At 37.9% G+C, this 22,973-nt stretch overlaps 3 protein-coding genes and 2 pseudogenes across 4 annotated transcripts in view; 4 read left to right on the forward strand and 1 right to left on the reverse strand.

The window, feature by feature from the left end:
* The first annotated feature begins 252 nt into the window (after positions 1–252).
* On the forward strand, positions 253–3,153 carry OR2T8 (olfactory receptor family 2 subfamily T member 8). The gene is made up of 2 exons (NM_001005522.2): positions 253–519; positions 999–3,153. The coding sequence occupies exon 2, from the start codon at positions 1,019–1,021 to the stop codon at positions 1,955–1,957; it is 939 nt and encodes a 312-aa protein (NP_001005522.1). The 5' UTR covers positions 253–519; positions 999–1,018; the 3' UTR covers positions 1,958–3,153.
* Positions 3,154–4,889: 1,736 nt separating this feature from the next.
* On the forward strand, positions 4,890–15,340 carry OR2AJ1 (olfactory receptor family 2 subfamily AJ member 1). Its single transcript, NM_001355235.2, has 2 exons — positions 4,890–5,169; positions 13,748–15,340. Exon 2 carries the CDS (start codon positions 13,770–13,772, stop codon positions 14,754–14,756), a length of 987 nt encoding a protein of 328 aa, NP_001342164.2. The 5' UTR covers positions 4,890–5,169; positions 13,748–13,769; the 3' UTR covers positions 14,757–15,340.
* CLK3P2 (CDC like kinase 3 pseudogene 2) lies at positions 15,815–17,129 on the reverse strand (annotated as a pseudogene).
* The window catches only part of OR2L13 (olfactory receptor family 2 subfamily L member 13), a 163,987-nt gene continuing 158,191 nt past the window's right edge, over positions 17,178–22,973 (forward strand). For both annotated transcript variants that reach the window (NM_175911.5, NM_001304535.3), the window contains exon 1: positions 17,178–17,385. The gene's annotated coding sequence lies outside the window, so the exon portion shown is untranslated. The remainder of the gene's footprint in view (positions 17,386–22,973) is intronic.
* On the forward strand, positions 19,073–19,817 carry OR2X1P (olfactory receptor family 2 subfamily X member 1 pseudogene; annotated as a pseudogene).

The raw sequence follows: 22,973 nt of genomic DNA on the forward strand, positions 1-22,973 counted from the left end.
CTTTATTGAATTAGACCATATCCTTGAGATTGAATCAGCATCAATACCTCTGCAGGTGTGGCGACATTTATTCAACAAGGTAGAAAACTTCCTGCACCAGCAGATCTAAGATGAAAATGTCTATAAAGATTTCATTTCTCTTGAGACTGAAGAAGACATTAATTTATCTCTGTGATTGGATAAAGATCTTAGTTTTCTTTTTTCTCCTTTACCTGGTAAAGGTTATACTTGTGGACTGATGAGAAAAAGTCTCATTGCAACAAAGTACCTTGTACAGTTAATGAAAATGTGTGTTTACCATTATACTCTTACACTGCAAAGAAATAAAAAATATCCAAGAAGGTCAGTACTGTTTTCAGTCTATCACCTATAAAGGAGGACTAAATGTGTTCACAACTCCAAATTAACTATGTTTTCATCTGCAGACTCAGCCTTTCCAGACCTGAGAATATAAGTCACCCTCTTTAGAAAGGAAAAAAAGTCTTCTTGGATTAAGTCAGGGAAAACTGCCTGATTTTGGTAGGTTTCAATGAGTTTTGATATGTTATAGACCCACAACCTTCACAGTCAAGGATGTAGTTTTATATAATGAAATATACTGACTTAATTCAGCTTCTAAAATATTGACTATGCATGATGTAACTCAAGCACAAATAAAGTGACAAATTATGTGAATCATTTCATTCTCACTCACTTATGATGGTACCAGATAAAGCAAAACCATTCTGACAGGTTACTTGCAACTTATCCAGAACGTGGATTTGTGATATAAAATTAATCAATACTTAGCCTGAGAAGCATTTATTATGAAATCCTTGGAAATGAGAAAAAGTTTAATTAATTTTATGCACAAATTAGAACATTTTGCAAGTGGCAAATGAAAGATTTGACATAGGTTTCATCGCTTTCACACAAGTACTTTTCTATTTTTTTACTACGTAACTCAAATGGAGTACCATAAAGGATAAACACTCTGTCTTCTTTTTCTCCATTTGCAGTGTCACTCTTATTTGAAATCATGGAAAATGGGAGCTATACCTCTTATTTCATTCTCCTAGGACTCTTTAACCACACCAGAGCCCACCAAGTCCTCTTCATGATGGTTCTGAGTATCGTTTTGACCTCCCTGTTTGGCAATTCCCTCATGATTCTCCTGATTCACTGGGACCACCGGCTCCACACGCCCATGTACTTCCTCCTGAGCCAACTTTCCCTCATGGACGTGATGCTGGTTTCCACCACTGTGCCCAAAATGGCGGCTGACTACTTGACCGGAAGTAAGGCCATCTCCCGCGCTGGCTGTGGTGCGCAGATCTTCTTCCTCCCCACACTGGGTGGTGGAGAGTGCTTCCTCTTAGCAGCCATGGCCTATGACCGCTATGCGGCTGTCTGCCACCCACTCCGATATCCCACTCTCATGAGCTGGCAGCTGTGCCTGAGGATGAACCTGTCGTGTTGGCTCCTGGGTGCAGCTGACGGGCTCCTGCAGGCTGTTGCTACCCTGAGCTTCCCATATTGCGGTGCACACGAGATCGATCACTTCTTCTGCGAGACCCCCGTGCTGGTGCGTTTGGCTTGTGCTGACACTTCAGTCTTCGAAAACGCCATGTACATCTGCTGTGTGTTAATGCTCCTGGTCCCCTTTTCCCTCATCCTGTCCTCCTATGGTCTCATCCTCGCTGCTGTTCTGCACATGCGCTCTACAGAAGCCCGCAAGAAGGCCTTTGCCACCTGCTCTTCACATGTGGCTGTGGTGGGACTCTTTTATGGAGCTGCCATTTTTACCTATATGAGACCCAAATCCCACAGGTCCACTAACCACGACAAGGTTGTGTCAGCCTTCTATACTATGTTCACCCCTTTACTAAACCCCCTCATCTACAGTGTGAAGAACAGTGAGGTGAAGGGAGCCCTGACAAGGTGTATGGGTCGGTGTGTGGCCTTAAGTCGTGAATAAGACTATATATTTGCCCCAACATTCAAAACTGTGCAAAGTGTTTGTGTGGAATTTCCTAGAAATAAGGAATATACACTTTTATTTCTACATCTGTTGTCTCTGTGTGTGTGTGTGTTTGTGTGTTGCTTTGAATTGCAGATGAATCTTCATTCCTCGGGTTCATTTACTCAGCTATCATTACCCAATCAAATCATGGATTGTTAAAAATCGGTGAACTCACTAATCCTTAGTAAGATGGTTTTACATCATACCTCACAATAATTTTTTGTTCAAAGAATGAATTAACCATTCAAGCAGTTTTGAAAGTTGTTGCCATTTGTTTCAAATTGAGGTGTAGCTTACACACAGTAGAATGCTCGCATTTAAGATGTTCCTTTTCAACTAATTTCCACAAATATCTACCCTGGTAATTCACCCATTAGGAAGAGACACCATTTTCACCACCTCAGAAAGGTCCTGCAGGCCCTTTTCCAGTGATACCCCAGGCCTAAGATACATCCACTGCTCTAATTTTTATCTCTGTTCGTTAGTTTGGGCTATTCTAAAATTTCACATCAAAGGAAACAAATAGTATGGTCTTGAATCTTGTTTCCTTCTTTCAGCTTAATGTATTTCTAAAATCCCTCCACATTTTTACCTCATTGTTACATTGCTTTTTTTTACTGCTAAGTAGTATTTTGTTTTCTGAAAATTTCATCATTTGTTTATCCATTATTTTGCTGATGGACATCTGGGCTATTTTCAGTTTGAAGTTCTGGTGACTGAAATGTATGTTAATCTCCTATTTGTAATCATATGTTTTTATTTTTCTTGGTAGGTGTCTGGTGAACTCTTCAGTAAACTGTTTTCAAAGTGGTTGTTTACTCTTATACTGCCGCTGACAATGCACACAAGTTCCTGTTGCTCCAAATGTCGATGTTTTCTTCATTTTAGCAATTCTTCTGAGTGTAGTAGGAACTCAGTTTGCTTTTAATTTGCATTTTCCTGATGACTAATAATGTTGAGGCCTCTTGCGTTAGCTTATTATCTATTGCCTATTGATGTAAACTGTCTACTTCAGTTTTTGGAAAAAAAAATCTGTATATGCTTCCAAAGCGAAAACAACTTGGTCATTAACTAATAGGCAATCTATGGCATTCATAGGGCTACTTGGAATTTTGGAAATAAAATCATATATTGGGTTATTTTTTATTATATTTCCTGACACATGTGTTATCATTCAATGCCTCAAGATTTGCTGTTTTATTAAACCAGGTATTTAGTACATCTCTTCCACCTCCTGCATTCTGCTTAAAGCTATAAATCTGTTTGTTTTAATTATGAGTTGTAACAGAACATCCCACTTCACTGGAGGAATGATGCCACTAAAAACACACAGATTTTATTAATTTTACATATACAGGGGCTTCTTCACAAGAGCATGAAATCTGAGGAAGTGGCCAAAGAGAGAAATTTTATATTTTCTCGAGAAAGAATGATAAATTTAAGAAGACGTGACAGGACAAAGGGGATGGGGTAACAGCAGTACATTTCTAGGTGAGTCATTAGGATGTATGTGAAGGGGAGTAAAACTCGTAGAAGGGTTACTTCGCTAAGTATATTCATTCTGATCCATTGCACCCCCGGATCCCAGTGTCTGGTGTAAGGGCTATTTTCTCAGCTGGTACATGGAGGGTGCACCTCCCGAGGAATCTCTATGGCTTCGCACATGTAGGAAGAGAATGATCAGCTGGCCCTTTCTGAAATAACCATTGCTCCTATGTTTTTAATTCGAAGTAATCAATATTCCAATTTGGTATTTGGGGAATGGCATGTCTTTCACTCCTTTACAGGTAAATGATTATATAGATGCAGTAATTTTCAGGCAAGAAATTTGGCATGTTGAAGAGACTGCTGATTTTACGAAGGAAACAAACATAAACATACGTTTATTTCTATATCAATTTATTTATAAATATATACTCATGTGATCTCCAAAAACAAAAAATTAAATCCAAAAATCAATTGTAATACAATAATTTCACATACTTAGAGACTGTTTTTTTTTTTACTTTGCTTTTTTTTAGTCTCAATCTTCTCCTTCACAACTTTTTCTTTTCTTGAAATAAGGAGCAGAGGAATGTAGAGCAGACGCTCTCAGGGAGCAGGAGCCAGTGAGATCCAGGTTGGCAGGTCCCTGCAGTACTGTGGAAGTGGCGGCCCCTGGGGATTGTGGAAGAAAGCCTGGTTGAGGCATTTACCCCGGGCCTGCAGGTTGTGCTTTAGGGTATCTAAAGCCAATTTATTACACTTTAAACCTGGTTTATTTCTATAAACATAGGCATAATTTGATCATAGGGTAATTTCATCAAATAGCCAACTTCCATATTCTTTCAGAAACATGAAGTGAATTGGTTTAACCCTCGCCTAGATGGAGTAGAGTATAACTTCTTATGAAATAACTATAATAACAGTAATAAACACAAATACCTCTCATTCATTTAGTACTTAATTTGCAACTGTATTTTGCTTAATATTTCACCTTCATTTTATTATTTTAGTTATAACCATAACCTTCCAGAATTGGCTCAGTGTTCATTCTCATTTTTTTAAAAAAATGGAGACAAGCTTATTGGGGTAAAATTCACTATCCACTTTTATACAGACCTGAATCCAATTGCCTGACTTTAAAAAGCTTGCACTCAGGAAAGAGCTAGTTTTCATAGTGTTTCAGTGAGCACCTGCCCCCACCCCACACATATACACATGCACACTCATTTGAAATCGCCATCATTTCTTCTACTAGTGTTCAAGATGTTGTCACATGGTTTTCCTCCTTCACACAAGGTATTGCTGCAGGTTCTCCTCACTTTTTTCTCAGGCATCCCCTAGGGACATGAGTCCTCATGGTGCCCTATGAAAGGGTGGCCGTTTTCTCTCCCACAAGCCACATGCTACAGGACTTCCAACTGGGAAGTTGTCTTTCATCCTTTTCCTTGCTCCTTTCAAATCACATATCCCCTTCTCCCTGTAAACTGTCAGCTAATCGGAAGGAAATCGCTGAACTGAGTATCACCCAATGCCTCTGAGTCACTCTCAAGGACATGACATTGAAACAAACATCTGAGTAGCATGAACAGCAGCTGGACACCATGAGGGAGGAAGGGGTGTTGAGCCCAGTGTGCTAAATGTGAAAGGCCCTGCCTGGAATGTCCTGTGCGGAGCGGAACGTGGTAAGGTCAAATGTGGTGGGAGATGGGTACCCCGGGAGGACTTCAGGGTCAGGTCACATAGGAAGGCGCAGGTTTTGTTCAGAGCGCGCTAGGGTACACCTGCAGTCAGCCCTCATCAGGAAGGAGCAGACGGTCCACATAAACATAAGCAGCTAAACTGTAGATTAAACATGATGTTCTGACAGAGCAGATTCTGAGGGGGAGAGAGTCATCCTCTTTAAGAGAACAGGAAAGTCTCCATGGAGGGAAGATTTACATGTAAAATCTTGGGAGAATGGAAGAAATTGAAGCCCTTAGAAGTGCTGGGGAAGAGTGTTTATGTGCAAGAAATAATCCAACTTATGAAAAAGATGCAGAATAGCTCAATTTATATAAATATAAATACTTCAGCTTCACTGGAAATTAGAACTAAATGTAGGCAAATTTTATGAATTTTTTTTAAATTTAAAAGAATGTGACCTAGCAGAATGTCTGCAAATGCAAAGTTGTGGTTACAGAAAGAGGAATCTAGTGTTAGGACTGAAATGGATTTATACAGGGAGAAATTTGAGGCAGGGAATTAACTTAATTGTCATTATAATTTTTGTGTTTCTATCCTATAAAAGCGGGTGCTAAATACTTTGAGTAAAACATACTGGAATTACAGTAGATTGAAGATTCCGCCAATATAAAATCTAATAGATGCATTAAGGGTAGCAAACGATTATCACAGACTACTGTACTAGGTTTTCTATTCCCAGATCAACTCATTTGCCTTCTTCAATGATTCTTTCTCATCAATATATTTCTTCTGTAAATTCTGAACACAAAATGTGTAACATTCTAATATAATCTGCATACATACATAATGTACTAAAGTGAATTTAGTATAGAACTTTAAGATATGCCTGTAGTAGGCTTGATTTTCACATATTTATTCAATAAAGCAAATTAAATCATGCCATTTTATTTAGATAAATGAAACACCATTTAAAATTATTTGAAATAACTTAAAATAAATATAAACATTATCTTTAGCATAGAATTTTAGTTTTGATTTAAATATAAAAATTTGGAAACTCAATGTTACTTATTATATTATTTTTACTATTAAAAACTGAAAGGTAATATAAATGTAACAAGTAAGATAATAGTTGACTAAATAGTTGTACACCCAGTTGAAATTTACTACATTAACACACGATAATCCAAAGATCTTTGACTGATAGCAATGGTAAAGAGTTTCTCTGCTGCCAGTGGAGAAGTCATATAGGTTAACTTGTTATATACCCCTTATTTTGGCCTCTGAAAAGATTGTTTGTCCACTGTGGTCTTTTAACCTTGACATCGCCTTTGGATTGAATTTTCTTTCCCTCAGCATAATGCTATTGCTTTTTTGATCTCTAGGGGAAATTGGAGATTGTACATTGATGCATACAATTTGTGGCCAAATTCCTTCTACTGCAGTCTCAATGGTCTAGGGGTTACTTACAGTTCTACAACACACAAATTCAGAGTGGTACAACCAGACTTAGGTTTCCTTTGGCAGTACTGGTGTTTCAAAAACATAGCTGGCATTTATTCATTTCCATTTGAGACCACTATCAGTCAAAATCTACTGCTAAGATAGAGTTTTTAATCTCTTGATTGCTCCCAACATTAGTTAAATGTGGCTACACTGAGAATGGTTTCAACAATAGACTTTAGTGGGAACAAACTAGCTTGATTCTTTGTGACAAGCAAGATGCCCCCTGTATTCTGCAGCGTTCTCAAGGAAAAGTGCTTGATGAGGCTTGAGCCACGGAGTCATTTCCTTGTCAGGCGCACACACCCCATATGCAGTTGATGTTTTCAGTCCTTCGAGGCTTCTAAGTATTAGGCTTGGGTGATATCTATTTCATGTTTCAGACAGAGAAATATTTGATCAGCAAAGCTTATTTTCTCATCTCTGCTAACTCTAGCTTGGTTCATCTCACACTTGCTGGACTTTGCTTTGTGTTCTGTGGTAGAACAGGTAACAGAGTTAAATAGCCTGCTAACTCCCACACAAAAGACATTTCCCTAATTTCTAGAAATCATCTCAGTTTTTTTCAATCACCTGCACTATAATAAGAAAATCGTTTTCTTTTTTCTGACAGCATTAAGTGCATAATAAGAGAGAATTCAGTTCTATCATCAGTAACAGAGACCTGGTCAGTAGGGACTTCAACATTAAACAAGGATTTAAAAAGTTAATTGATGCACAATTCTTGTACAAATTTATGGGGTACAGAGTGATATTTGGATACATACAAAGTTTAATGATCAAATCAGGGTTATTAGCATATTAATCACCTTAAACATTTAGGGGGTGTGTGTGTGTGTGTGTGTGTTGGGAACATTGAAAATCCTTTCTTCTAGCTATTTGAAAAGATAGAAAAAATTATCATTAACGATAATCATCCTAGAGTGCTATAGAACACTAGAACTTATTCTTCCAACATAGTTATAAATTTGTACTCATTGAGCAACTTCTCTCTCTTCTCTTAGGCCCTCGTGTTTCCCAGCCTCGAGTAAATACCATTCTACTCTCTACCTCTATGAGATCAGGTTTTTTAACCTTCTGTATATGAATGAGAACATGTAGTATACATCCTTCTGTGCCCTGGTTTATTGAACTCAACATAATGTCATCCAGGCTCATCCATGTTGCCACCAACTACAAGATTTTATTCTTTTTATGACTGAATAGTATTCCATTGTGTATACATACCACATTTTCTTTAACTATTCATTGGTTGATGAACATGTAGTTGATTCCATATCTTGGATATTGTGAACAGTGTGGCACTAAACATTGAGGTACAGATGTCCCTTCAATAGGCTAATTTCCTTTCCTTTGGATATATGCCCAGTAGTTGAATTGCTGGATCATATGATAGATCTATATTTTTAGTTTCATAGTGTTCTTTATAATAGCTATACTAATTTACATTCCCATCAACACTGTATAAGATGTCTCTTTCTCTACATCCTCACCAGCATTTGTTATTTTTTGTCTTTTTTGATAATGACCACTCTAATTGCAGTGAAATTATATGTCATTTTGGTTTTGATTTATATTTCCCTTATGATTAGTGATGTTGAACATTTTTTCAAATATTTGGCTATTTTTATGTCTTCTTCTGAGAAATGGGTATTTAGATCATTTACCTATTTTCAATTGGATTATGGGGTTTTATTTGCTATTGAGTTCCTCGCATATACTATATATTAATCTTTTGTCAGAAGAATAATTTGCAAATATTTTCTTCAATTTTGCAGGGTGTTTTTTCATTGAGATGAATGTTTTCTTTTCTGTGCAGAAGGTGTTTAGTTTAATGTAGCCCCATTTGTGTGTTTCTATCTTGTTGCCTGTGCCCTTGAAGTCTTAGAGATAAAATCTTTTCTGAGACCGATGTTGAAGCATTTCCCTTAAAACAAGCATCATTTTTAATTTCTTCATAAGAAGCAAGTGTTGATTTTGGCCAATCAGGGCAGCTTTTGTGATTGGTGATCAACAGGAAATTGCCTGGTAGCAGACAGTCTTCGGCTCCTTAATCCCTTGAGTTTTGTCCCTATGAAATGGTTACAGGAACATTTCAGGAACATACATCATCATATCCATATGCTAAAGAAACAGGATGGGCCGGGCGCGGTGCCTCACGCCTGTAATCCCAGCACTTTGGGAGGCCGAGGCGGGCGGATCACGAGGTCAGGAGATCGAGACCATCCTGGCTAACACGGTGAAATCCCGTCTCTACTAAAAATAAAAAAAATTATCCGGGCGTGGTCGTGGGCGCCTGTAGTCCCAGCTCCTTGGGAGACAGTAATTATAGGAATCCCTTAAATCAGGTGGCAGTAACAAGGAGAAGACATGTGGTCACTCACTCCGTAATGATTGTATGGAATTGAAAAGTTAGAAGGGCCAAAAAAAATGGTGAATTAAAACATCAAATGGCTGGCATAAAATGAGATTGTAAGCAGCTCAGATTATTTGATTTCAAAGTCTTCATTTGCTCTTTCACACTCATTTTCATGTGCGCATGTGGGTGAGGAAGCCGACCTAAACATTCTCATTCAGTGTGGTGAGTTTCTTTCTCCCTAGCTTAATGAGTCAATTTTCTGGACAGTGAGTACAAAATATACTTCTGATTCACGCATTATATTGTACTTTGCTTTACATAGCTACATTCTATCATATCCTGAATCTCTCTTCTTTCATTCCTTTCCTTCCTGCCCCTCTTTTCCTCTCCCTAGCTATCTCATTTTCTCCCTCCCCTGGTATATAACCCCTTACATGTGTATTTAAGAAACAAAAAAGAGTAAGAATATAGTAATTATAGGAATACTAATATAGTAATAATAGTAGTAGCAATAATAATCATCCTGAGTATTGACTGTGTGCCAGGCTCTATTCCCCCCCTTCACTCGGTGTGTGTGTGTGTGTGTGTGTGTGTGTGTGTTTGCAGTGGGGGTATTTAATGAGTCTCATCTAATATTCAAAACAACTTTATCAGGCAGGTACTGTCATGATCTTCATTTCATAGAAATTCATTTCAGACATAATTTAATGGATATTTCAGATATAATTTCATATCTGGTGTTTCATGTAAGACAAAAAAATGAAATATTTTTGGGATATTGCATTTCCATTAAATTTTCCTGTTTATCTCTTCAAAGCAGTAGGGTATTGATGATATTGTTATTTTCTTAATAAAATGTTTGAGTCAATAGCATACGAATTCCTGGGCTAGGTAACATCCATTATATTTCTATTATATCCATGTCTGCTCTAGATAAAGTAATAGTTAAATTTCATCCAGATTTAGGTTAATTTAGTATTTGAGTTTTGCCTGTCCTATGAAATTCCACTGTAGTCCAGTGAAATACCAGTGACCACTTTTTAAAAATAGTCAGTCACTAACTCATTAAGTCTGATATTTTAAGCTTATGATAAAGCTTATCATAATTGATTTAGTGATTTTCTTTTGTCTTGTGCTTGTCTTGCAGTCAAACATGTAATGTAAAGAAATAATGTAGGAACAAATAAATAACTACTTAACATTTGAATGTCAAGTCATTGCAATATTAGTGAACAATCGAAGTCTGTATAAATCAAAATTTAAAGAAACATGTTGTATGCTTTATCGGTATAATGAGAGATCTGGTAGATAAATTAAAAAGTATTTTTTAGTTGAACTAAGTCTAAATTAATGAATATGTGGTGTGTTTTAACAATCTTCTTAGATATAAAATGCTCAGAAGGATTTGAGTGTAGTGGGTCAATGAGTGAAGAGTACAAAAGGAGACTGGGGTATGATGGTGTCTGTACCTAGAATGTAATTTCCAAGCAGGAGTAAATTCAATGGAACATTTGCACAGTAAACAGATAGGAACAGTTTGATTCACTAACGGGAATAAACATATGAACTCTGAAGTAGTTCCATTGACAAAATGAAACAATTTGGCTACATGTACAAATATTTGGAATAGTTGGCTAAATAATTTAAGGAGCCTAAATGATTGTTCCTAAATGAAGACATTTTTAGATATGGTAAAGTCTCACACACACATACCCACACCCAAACACACACACACACAGACATTTAATCACATACAGTTATCATTTGAAGGAAGTGTGATGTGTCTGGAAAAAAATGTGGGCTCTTCTTTTGTATTAAACTTAGTATGAAATTATGTACACGATTTATGCTGGTGTCACTCTATATTTCTTTCTCTATAATCATGACCTGCGTTTCTTCAAATCAAAGTGGCTCTTTTATGCTCAGTTTATGTGAAGTATAATGTACACTGGTTAAATTTCAGACTGACCTGCCTGACTGCTTCTTCCAAATGATAAAACTTGAAGTATATATAAAGATGTAAACAGACTTTTGGGAAACTAGGAATTTCCTAAAAATTACAGAGCCACAAAGCTGAAAAACTTAAGACAAAATCCTGAGGAGAGCATGTTCTCTGATTAATCTCCAGGCTTATAGAAAAGACATGGATGTAGAGTGTATATTTTTCTCCAACATTTAATATTATTAACAAGGTATACTTGGAGCTAGATGGGTGATAAATGAACTTTACCTCGTCAAAGAGTTTCCTGTGTGGGGAACAAGCTATAGGATAGGTGACACGTATTTTCTCCACTTTCAAACACGGAATTGAGAGCATTTCTCTTTGCATACAATGGCAGATTTCACCCAAAATTGAAATACTCCTGGGTAACATAGAGGATACACTTTCTTGAATCATTCCATCATCATGGGAGTATATTTCAGATCCCTGACTGACTGGTTAAGCCAAGAGATATGAAAAAAAGTTGCAGAAATATGAGGTGCCTCATAGTAGTGGACATATGGTGTTGGAAGTAAGATGATGAGGGAGATAAGAAATAAATTGTGGATTGCTTCCAATTTCTGAAGAAAAAATACAGGTATTATTGCGTAGATGATATGAACTCTAAAAAATGTAAAAGCCAGTATGAAATACAGAGAAGGAGAATTTATGCATAGCTGAAAATATTTTTACATCAAAGACCACTAAAACAATTAAATCATTCTTGTAAAAAGCAATTAATGAGACCTAAAATGGGCCAGAAGTCAGCTAAGGACATATGATTCAGTAGGGCATGGAATTATGATAATAAAGTAAATCATTGATTAAACAAGTAAAACGAGAAGAATGATATAACTCCAGGGAGTGGGGAAAAGTTAACTTCGGATATAGGTGTGTTGATTTGAGTTGTCAGCAGTGTTTATTGATTTTGTAAATTTATTTACGATCAGCTCATGCAGGGCACCACTGCCCTGAAGTCTGAATCTGTGTGTATCATCACATTTTACAAAGCTGTGGGTCAAAACAGTCAAAACGGAAAGGAATGGCTGGGTGCGGTGGCTCACGCCTGTAATCCCAGCACTTTGGGAGGCCAAGGTGGGTGGATCATTTGAAGTCAAGAGTTCGAGACCAGCCTGACCAACATGGTGAAACCCCATTTCTAGTAACATACAAAACTTAGCCGGGTTTGGTAGTGGTGCCTGTATTCCAAGCTACTCGGAAGCTGAGGCTCGAGAATTGCTTGACTCCAGGAGGCTGAGGTTGCAGTGAGCTGAGATCACACCACTACACTCCAGCATGGGCAACAGAGCAAGACTCTGTCTCAAAAACAAATAAACAAAACAAAACAACAACATAAAAAACAGGCAGGACTAATTACACATACATTTATAAACTTCATTGAGGTGCTTATCTTTTCTAACTCTTCTAGGTCATAGCACACAACTGTTGTTATTCAAGGAAATTAAAATAGGATTAAGTGATCTGTTTATGAAGAATCTCAATATTCACAAAAATTAAAATAATCATTTATATATTGTCGGTGACATACTTCTGCATTTATTTTACAAAAGGGAAAATCTAAGCTCATTTTATTCAAACAAGTAGTTGTTAATAAGATGGAAAATAATTTTTTAATGTTTGTTATTTGTTTTGATGATCATAAAGCATCTTGAAAGACAGAAACCTGGACTAATGTATTTATAAATTTTATAATTTACGTATTAATATGTGAAAGTATATATGTATGTATTTATGCATATTGAGGGAAATGTTATACATACAGAAGGTGCACAAATAACTCTTATGTAAACATTTAAGTAACCACTATCAAAATATAAATAAATGATATGAACACCTACTATCCCACATATAGAATTAATACATTATACTTCAATTTCAACAAGTTAACCAAACACGTAAATATGAAATACAACCTTAAAGACACATTGTTGATGTTGACTAGATGATACTTCTATTTTTTACATTTAAAATATAGTGTTTCAAATTATAAACATATTGAGTTTTGTGACAATATTTCATTACTTATTATTTTGGAAAGTCTTAGAATTATACATTTTATTTTCTATAAGTTTAATCTAAATAATAAATGCAATAGACAGAAAGACAAGTTCCACAGTTCATTCATTTCATTCAAATATTCAACATTCTTGAGCAACTGCTATGCACTAGGCTCTGTTCCAGGCAGTTGGTTATACCAGTGATCAGAACAAGGATCTCTCATTGTGAAGTAAAAATTCTGGCATAGAATGAAAATAAACAGTAAATATAACCAGTGTGTTTATTATTTAATGTACTAGAAGGTGAAAAGTGACATGCAAACATGTGAAAATGGAGCAGAGCAAGGAGGACCAGGAAATTAGGGTTTAAGTGGGAGCCCTACAATTTTTTAAAGGGTGTGCAAGGATAGGCCTCCTTGGGAAAGTGACATTTGAGAAAAGAGTAGATTTGAGTAAATTATGTGGAATTAATTAAGATTATGAGACTCAAGATGGAGCCAAGGGCCCACTCAATATACTGAATATCATCGATTATTTGAAGAAAGAAATGCCCAGCTTGTAAAACATGCCCACTCCAAAAACTGGCTAAGAGTATTTTGATGTTGATTACAAAACATGCATCACTAACTCTCATTTTATTATGCAGGTATATTATTGTTAGATTAAGATTTACACTAATATTTTTTCTTTATTATTAATTCATTATTTCTTTTTAGGTTAAAAAATAGAGAATTCATGATGGGCCATCAGAATCACACTTTCAGCAGTGATTTCATACTTTTGGGATTGTTCTCTTCTTCCCCAACAAGTGTGGTCTTCTTCTTAGTTTTATTTGTCATTTTCATTATGAGTGTAACAGAAAATACGCTCATGATCCTCCTCATTCGCAGTGACTCCCGACTCCACACTCCAATGTATTTTCTGCTCAGCCATCTCTCCTTAATGGATATCTTGCATGTTTCCAACATCGTTCCCAAAATGGTCACTAACTTTCTGTCAGGCAGCAGAACTATTTCATTTGCAGGTTGTGGGTTCCAGGTATTTCTGTCCCTCACCCTCCTGGGTGGTGAGTGCCTTCTCCTGGCTGCAATGTCCTGTGATCGCTATGTGGCTATCTGTCACCCGCTGCGCTATCCGATTCTTATGAAGGAGTATGCCAGCGCTCTCATGGCTGGAGGCTCCTGGCTCATTGGGGTTTTCAACTCCACAGTCCACACAGCTTATGCACTGCAGTTTCCCTTCTGTGGCTCTAGGGCAATTGATCACTTCTTCTGTGAAGTCCCTGCCATGTTGAAGTTGTCCTGTGCAGACACAACACGCTATGAACGAGGGGTTTGTGTAAGTGCTGTGATCTTCCTGCTGATCCCTTTCTCCTTGATCTCTGCTTCTTATGGCCAAATTATTCTTACTGTCCTCCAGATGAAATCATCAGAGGCAAGGAAAAAGTCATTTTCCACTTGTTCCTTCCACATGATTGTGGTCACGATGTACTATGGGCCATTTATTTTTACATATATGAGACCTAAATCATACCACACTCCAGGCCAGGATAAGTTCCTGGCAATATTCTATACGATCCTCACACCCACACTCAACCCTTTCATCTACAGCTTTAGGAATAAAGATGTTCTGGCGGTGATGAAAAATATGCTCAAAAGTAACTTTCTGCACAAAAAAATGAATAGGAAAATTCCTGAATGTGTGTTCTGTCTATTTCTATGTTAAATGCCTGAAGGATACTCATGAGAGGTTTCCTAGAAAGAAATCAAAGCTTCTATCTTACCACATATAAGAAGTGAATATTTCAGAAACATTGTTAATAATAAACAATAATATGTGTTTGTGTTGTAAACACGTACCTCTAAAAATGTAGTGTTCCTTCTGTGGTACCAATTATAATCATGCAACAGTTACAGGAAGTAGAAGTTACCCAAGGCGTCCTATTCCCTAACACCAAAATTGTAAGACTTATGAGAATATCCCTAAAAATACAGTCACACATCCATTGTATAAAAGACAAATCCATGTTTATTTTTATAAAACTTTGTTAAATTATATTGCTAACAATCACTTATCAAAAATTCACAAATTCCATATGAAATCATTATTCTTTGCCTGGTTTATCAACACCTTTATTTAGTAAAATTTTACAGATACACATATATATGCACACACACATATATATGTACACACATATATACAGATATAAGTTGTGTTAAAATTGAATTACTCATCCTATGCTAGAAGCAACTATACAATATTAGATAGGAATATCATAAAAATTGCCTTATTTCATTTATACATACAGGATGATGTTTTACAAACTCTTCTAGCAATTTATCCTAATAGTTATTTCAAAGAAGATAATAAATATTTCTATTGAGAATTCATTTAATTTTTTTCCTTTTTTTTTTTTTTTTTTTTACAAACACTAAGACACACTTTGTAAGTTTAAAATGTATGGGCCAGGCGCGGTGGATCACGCCTGTAATCCCAACACTTTCGGAGGCCTAGGTGGGCGGATCACGAGGTCAGCAGATCGAGACCATCCTGACTAACACGGTGAAACCCCGTCTCTACTAAAAATACAAAAAAATTAGCCGGGCGTGGTGGCGGGCGCCTGTAGTCCCAGCTACTCGGGAGGCTGAGGCAGGAGAATGGCGGGAACCCGGGAGGCGGAGCTTGCAGTGAGCCAAGATGGCGCCACCGCACTCCAGCCTGGGCCACAGAGCTAGACTCCATCTCAAAAAAACAAACAAAAAACAAAACAAAAACAAAAACAAAAAACACGTATGAACAGCTTGAGTCAAATCTGCCTTCTGGCAGCTGGGCACCAAGTCTGCTCCCCCGCAGGCTCCTGCCTTCCTTCACATTGCACTGCTCATTGTGTGGTTCTGGTCCTGGGACCTGGTGGTAGGGGCTGGAGAATGGGGATTGGGCAGCCCAGTTCCGCTCTCCTCATGCAGTGTCCTGCGTCTGTCATCTGCTTGGGTTGTGGCTTGTGTGGAAGGACCACGACTGAGGTTGCCAGGCCAGCAAAGACGGGGTGCAGAAGAGTCTCAGCCAGAGTGATGTGCTGGGCAGCGTCCAATTTTACCACCCTCCGCATCAGGTCAAACAGCTGCACGTGCTCCAGAGAGTCTTGGAGCATGTCACTCTTCAGACGTTTGCAGTTCTTCACATATGGGCTGTCAGAGCTGTTCTCATCCCAAACTAGGCCCCATTTGTAGAAATATTTCTGCTTCTTGGTACAGGAGATCACGCGTAATGGGATGAGCCGTAGGGTCTTCAACATCACCAGGCGCTCTTGGTTTTCACAGGTCTGGAAGAGTGTGAAACCTGGTAGTACTTAAAGAGAAGGTAGCCCATGCCCTGGACATGGCAGGGGCGTGTCCAGCCCAGATCAAGGATCAGTTCAGGCAGGCGACAGTGACCGTGGTCACCATGGCGATGTGGTGCCCACGGTCAGAGGTGGCATTGGGGAAGTCAGCCACTCGGACGCTGGTGCTCCTCACTGACTTCTCATCGCTCCTGTGCTCGCTGTAGACGGTGTTTAACTCAGAATCCACATGCAGGATGTTCTCGGTTTTCAGGTGTGCGTGGGTCAGCCGGTTCTCGTGCAGAAATCTAAGGGTGTGGCAGAGCTGGTGGGCCATGTGCCAGACATGTGGGAGGGGAATGGCTGGATGTTATTCTCCTTCGGGAACTCAAGGGTTTTCCTGCCCAGGAGCTCAAAGGTGATATGCATGGACCGCGGAGGGTGAACCAGTCACACCCCAAGACGCACAGCAGCTGGTTCTCTTAGTCCTTCTCGTTTATTTTTTTCGAGAGCGTTGAGTTTTGGCGGTGCCGCCTCCCGGTGCTTGCCCACATTGCAGATGACCCTCCGGCAACCCGAGACGTCCTTCTGGCAGGGTCCAAGCACTCACCCCCTTGCCACAGGCGCCTTGGCCCAGGTTCCCACTTGTCTTTATTGCTCTTGGGGCCAATCACCGACCCGGCCACCAGGTGGCGCCTGTTTATCATCTTCCGCACCTGCGCCCTGGGCTCACTCGCTGGGGCTGCCGGAGGACGCGCTCCTTCAGGACCCGCTGCGGCCACCAGGTGGAGCCTCTTTATCATCTTCCGCACCCGAGCCCCGGGCTCACTCGCTGGGGCTGCCGGAGGACGCGCTGCTGCGAGACCAGCCGCGGCGTCTTTGGCAGTAGTGGGCGTGCTTGCGGGTCCAGGAGGGCCCCTCTCCCGCGACCGCCGACCACGATGAGAGCGTGAAGACCCTCTCGAAAGGAAGGGCTCTGCTCTACACACTGGTGTCTCCTGCGGAAGGGCAGCTGGGCACGCCTTCCAGACCGAGGTATCAGACGAGAGGCCCCCTGGGGACGGGGCGGTTACCGCAGTCTCCCTTCTTGCTCCCGACTGTCAGCCCTCCTCCCCTCCCATCAGCAGCTCAGGGATGGGGCTGGCTCTGGGGCCTCCTCTTCCATCAACCCCTCAGCTACGGGGCTGGTTCAGGGGACTCCTCCCCTCCCATCAGCAGCTCAGGGATGGGGCTGGCTCTGGGGCCTCCTCTTCCATCAACCCCTCAGCTACGGGGCTGGTTCAGGGGACTCCTCCCCTCCCATCAGCAGCTCAGGGATGGGGCTGGCTCTGGGGCCTCCTCTCCCAGGCTCAGCTGCCGCTGGGACCCACTCCCCTGAGCGCCTCTCCCCTAAGTAATGTTATTCATAGCAAAAACTAGAAAAACACATTTTAATGAAATAAATGTTCAGGTTAATTTTATTATAGCATGCCAACTAAATGTTTTATACTATAGAAATAAATATTTAACAAAATATGAAGATATATATGAAACTTTAATGAAAAATGATTAGCCTTTCACAATTGGAAAATTAAAAACAATAGTAATAAATGTTAACCATATTTTGGTGAATTGGACATCATAACATATTGTAGGCATACATGAAATATGGTACAAACATTTTAAAAAGAACAGTGTGGCAATATATATTAAGGACCTTAAATAAACTATGAAATTATCTTCTAATAATACAACTATTTAATGTTCATAATTTAGACATAAAATAAGCAATTATTATATATTAATAACATTTTTTCCCTGACAATTGAGTTTTTTTACTTGATTCCAGTCCTGTAACAGTCTCCTATCCCTGGTGTGCTAAGGAGTTTTATTTCAGTAGAGAATGAGTAAAATTACTAATATAATGATATATAAAAATGTATTGCTAAGAGACGTTCAAAATTGACTGGAAGTGCTAATGTTAATATTAGATGCATCAGGTGCTGTATTTTTTTAAAGCCTGCTTTTACAACTCATAATAATACCTAATGTGGACCCAAGAGCAGCATGAAATCAGAGACAGTAAAAATCCGAATAGCAAGATATTATTGTAAGCAAGAGAAAGTCATTCTGCTGAACAGATCTGAGGATGATATAGAAGTTTAGAAGTCAGAATTCATAGATTTACAAATTTCCAGATTAAAATACAAAAATAATCTGTGATAGGGCTAAAAAACATTTTTTTCCTGTTGGGGATATAGAAACATAGAAACGCCTACATTGAGGGTAGTAGAAGACTTCATGTAAATAAACATGCCCACACACACATGCACACATACACACTGACACACACACATATATTTTTCTTAATAAAGAGTGTAAAGAGCATGGTTCAATCAGTGTGGGATTGTAAAGCATACTTGGATGAAATTGGAAGTGGAAAGTAAGATATTTTAAACATTAACCACATACCTAAAGTACTGCACATAGAAATAATTAGGCTTAAAGGTAAAGCCTATCACAATCTAAAGACATGCATTTGTAGTGGTGCGTGTTCAGATACCTGGGTATTGTGGTGGAGATACACATAGTCTTTTGAACATTCCGTTGTAGGTCGCTGGTAGCTGGATATGTCCTTTAAACTTTTGTGGCAATTCATTTGAGAAGAAACGCAGCTTTTTCTATTGAGTTCTTATGCTATAAGTAAAGGATGCAAGACATTAATTAGACAAAATAAGGTAAAATTTTGTATTCGCTTAGAGAGTTTAAGAGGCTATTAGCCACTAGTCTCTATAGTGCCTAAGTAAATCGATTCTGCTTAATAAACTGCTACCTGGCTTAGTAAGTAAACAAATTGAAACTTATTTTAGGAAAGAAATATATATTCTTATATCTACATCAGATTCTCTTATGTAGAAACACTAGAGGGTGAATGAGGAGTTAATGTAAGCAGCATCATATTTTTGCTCATTCCTTTCTCTATGATTTCTGCTTCTTCTGTCCAAATTCTGTGAGGTGTCCTCTAGATGAAATTATCACAGGCATGGAAAAGGTCATTTTCCACTTGGTCCATCCTCATGATTGCAGTTGTAACATACTGGGACTCATTCATTTTCACATATGTATATGAGACTTAAATCATCCACATTTCAGGCCAGGTTAAGTTTCTAGAAATATTCTATGCTTTCCTTGCACTTACACTCAATCCTGTCGTCTACAGCGTTGGCACTGACAGTGTTCTGGTGGCAATGAAAAATATGCTCTAGAGCAACATTCTACATAAAAAAAAGAATAGGAAAATTCCTTTCACTTGTGTATTCCCTCTATTTCCACATTCAATGTCTATAGAGTGTTGTTAGTTTCTTTGGAAAGAAAACCGAACCTTCTGTCTTTCTAAGTGTAGAAAGATGTGGATATTTTCAAAACCCCAATAATAATAAAGTTTTTACATATGTTTGTTTTTTCAATGCATGTCTAAAAATGTATTGTTCCTCTTGTGGGTACCGATTTCAATCACTCAACACACTCTAGAAAGACAAAGATAACCTAAGGCTTCCACCACCCTCCCACTAAAATTGTAAGAATATATAAGAATTACATTTGAAATACAATCAAACCATTATATTAAAAACATGTACTAATATAATATCTGTGTTTTTATGAAACTTCCTAAAATTGTATTTCAAGTCTCACAATCAGTTTCTTTTCAAAAATCTACAACTCCACTTGAAATTACCATTATTCATTGAATGGTTTGTTTTGACACTTTAGTTTCCTCAAGTGAAAAATACATGCACATACACATATATACATACACATACTTACATACATTGATTGTAGTCAAATCAAGTTTCTCATTCTTTGTTGGAAGCATGAATACAATATTTAAGAATATCCTGAAAATTATGTCTTATTTCATGTATACATACAGGCTTATATTTTACAAACCCTTCTAACAATTTATCCTAAAAGTTATTGCAAAGAGAAAAATAAATGTTTCTATTAGGAATACTTTTAAATGGTTTTATTAATAGGAAAAACTAGAAAAACATTTTAATGAGGTAAATGTTTTAAGTTAATTTTATCAAGTTAACTAGATTTTGTATATTTAATAAATATCATAAAGTATTTAACAAAATATAAAGGTATCATAGCAAGCTTTAATGGGTGAAAGTGTTACTTTGCCTTCTATAATTGGAAACTTTAAGACAGTAACAATAATTGTTATCAAAGTTTTGGGTTGAATTTAACAGAAAACCTATAGGTATTCCTTATCCAACTCACTGTTGATGAGCACCTAGGTTGAATGTATGTCTTTGCTGTTGTGAATAGTGCAGCAATGAACATATGAATGCATGTGCCTTTTTGGTAGAATGATTTTGTGTGTGTGTGTGCATACGTGCGTGTGTGTGTGTGTGTGTGTGTGTGCGCGCGCTAAGCAATGGAATTGCTGCGTCAAATGGTATCCTTTTTAAATTTTTTGAGAAATCTCCAGACTGCTTTCCATAGCTGCTGGACTAATTTACATTCCCACCAACAGCATATAAGAATTCCCTTTTCTCTGCAGCTTCATCAACATCTGTGCTTTTTTTTAAATTTTTTGTAATAGCCATTGTGACTTGTATGAAATGGTGTCTCATTGTGGTTTTGATTTGCATTTCTGTGATGATTAGTGATGCTGAGTATTTTTTCGTATGCTTGTTGGCCACTTGTATGTCTTCTTCAGAGATGTGTCTGTTCATGTACTTTGTGCATTTTTTAATGGGGTTGTTTTTTGCTTGTTGATTTATTTAACTTCCCTATATATTCTGGGCATTAGATATTTGTCAGATGCTTAGTTTGCAAATATTATTTCCTATTCTGTAGGTTGGCTGTTTCCTCTGTTGGTAGTTTCTTTTGCTGCACAGAAGTTCTTTCATTTAGTTAGGTCCTGCTCATCAATTTTATTTTGTTGCTGTTAATTTTGGAGACTTATAAGTCAGGTAGAGGAGTAAGTATTTGGGTTATATCATAGATATTGAAAGGTTTGCTCTCTGAGGCATGTCAAAAGAGAGTTTAGATATATAAAGAATGGTGAATGGATACTAGACTTTCTGATGAACTAGCATTACCATGCCCCTCATTTATTTATTTACATGGTCATTGTAAAGGAGATATGGAATATGTAAGAAGTTTGTTATATGCATGATACTTGGAGAAATAGACATGGAAGATGAAAAAAATAGATGGATTTTGGTCTTGATTCCTCAATTAAACCAACAAATTCCTGTGGTGCTATTTGGACAGACGCCGAATGGAGAGAGATAGAGAAAAAGAGAGAGAGAGAGAGACCTTGTCATGAAAGAGAGAGACCTTGTCATGAAAGAATTTGTGAAACAAATGGACAAGCATTGGTACCTATAGAACCTAGTGATGGAGTGTGACTCAGAGCTGTGTACAAAGGCTGTCTCTTCATTTCATTAATGAATACAATGTGTGGCAGGGATACAGGAATGTCTCTTATTCTCTTCGGCATCTTAAAGTTTCTGTATGTTTCAGATTTTGTGGCATGGAGCCTTCCTAGTGAGAATCCCAATCATGATTAATTCCCATTTGGTCTCACAAGCTGGTAAATACTGGGAATTATTGTGTTACTATGACTGTAGCCTCCCAGTACCAGTCTTGGTTTCCTTTCTTTCTGTCCTTCAATCCAGACTGGCTTTCAGATACACACATACACAAAAAAACTACATGATCTCACTTACATATTGGGCCTAAAAATAATTGGAATAAGTTGCCCAGACTGGTCTCAAACTCATGGGTGCAAATCATCTGGAAACCATCCTCACAAAATGAATAAAACTAAATTCTGGGTTTTTAACCAAAAGCATAAACTTTTAGTAGAAGCATACAGTAAGCATGAACCAGCTTGCCCAATAACCTATTTTGTGTGGCTGCTTAGTGCTTAAAAGTCATGTAGCCCCTGTCACAAGGTCCTCATTTCCCTTAATTGCTTCTTTAGATATCATCTTTAATATTAGGAAACCTCAAGTTTTCTACATAAAATGTTTTCTAGATCCTGAATTCCAGTGGGTCCACGGAACCAGTGGGGCTACCGAGCTTGTCTGAGAAACTGACTCAGTGTACTACATGTTCTACTTGCCAATAATTAAACTAGTAATATAAATTATATAATATTGGATTAGTCTTAATCCCAGTCTCTTATTGATTCCTAATGACATTTATGAAAATAATTTGGTGTTCTAAATTTTCTATAAAAAATTGCCCAAAGTCATAAAGTAACTGAAAATAAATTGCTCTGCAGAGAAGCAGAAACCTGCCAAAATTTTTAAAAAATGTATTTGGAAATTAAATTAGAATAGTTTCAGTGCATTTAAATGATTTTTATTAGGGTAAATATATATAAGAGAAACACCATTTTAACCATTTTAAGTGTAGAGTTCTGTGTCATTGCACATTTATATTGTGCAATCATCCCTATCGTGCATATCCAAAACAGTTTCATTGTCTCCAACTAACACTTTGTTCTTGTTAAACAATTACTCTCCTTCTCTCCCTTCTCCCATTCCCTGGGGTCCACTCTTCCACTTCCTCTCTCTATGAATTTCACTACTCTGGGTACTTCGTGTAGGCGAATTCATACA

This window comes from Homo sapiens, chromosome 1 (genome assembly GCF_000001405.40).
Source record: "Homo sapiens chromosome 1, GRCh38.p14 Primary Assembly".
Lineage (NCBI taxonomy): Eukaryota > Metazoa > Chordata > Mammalia > Primates > Hominidae > Homo > Homo sapiens.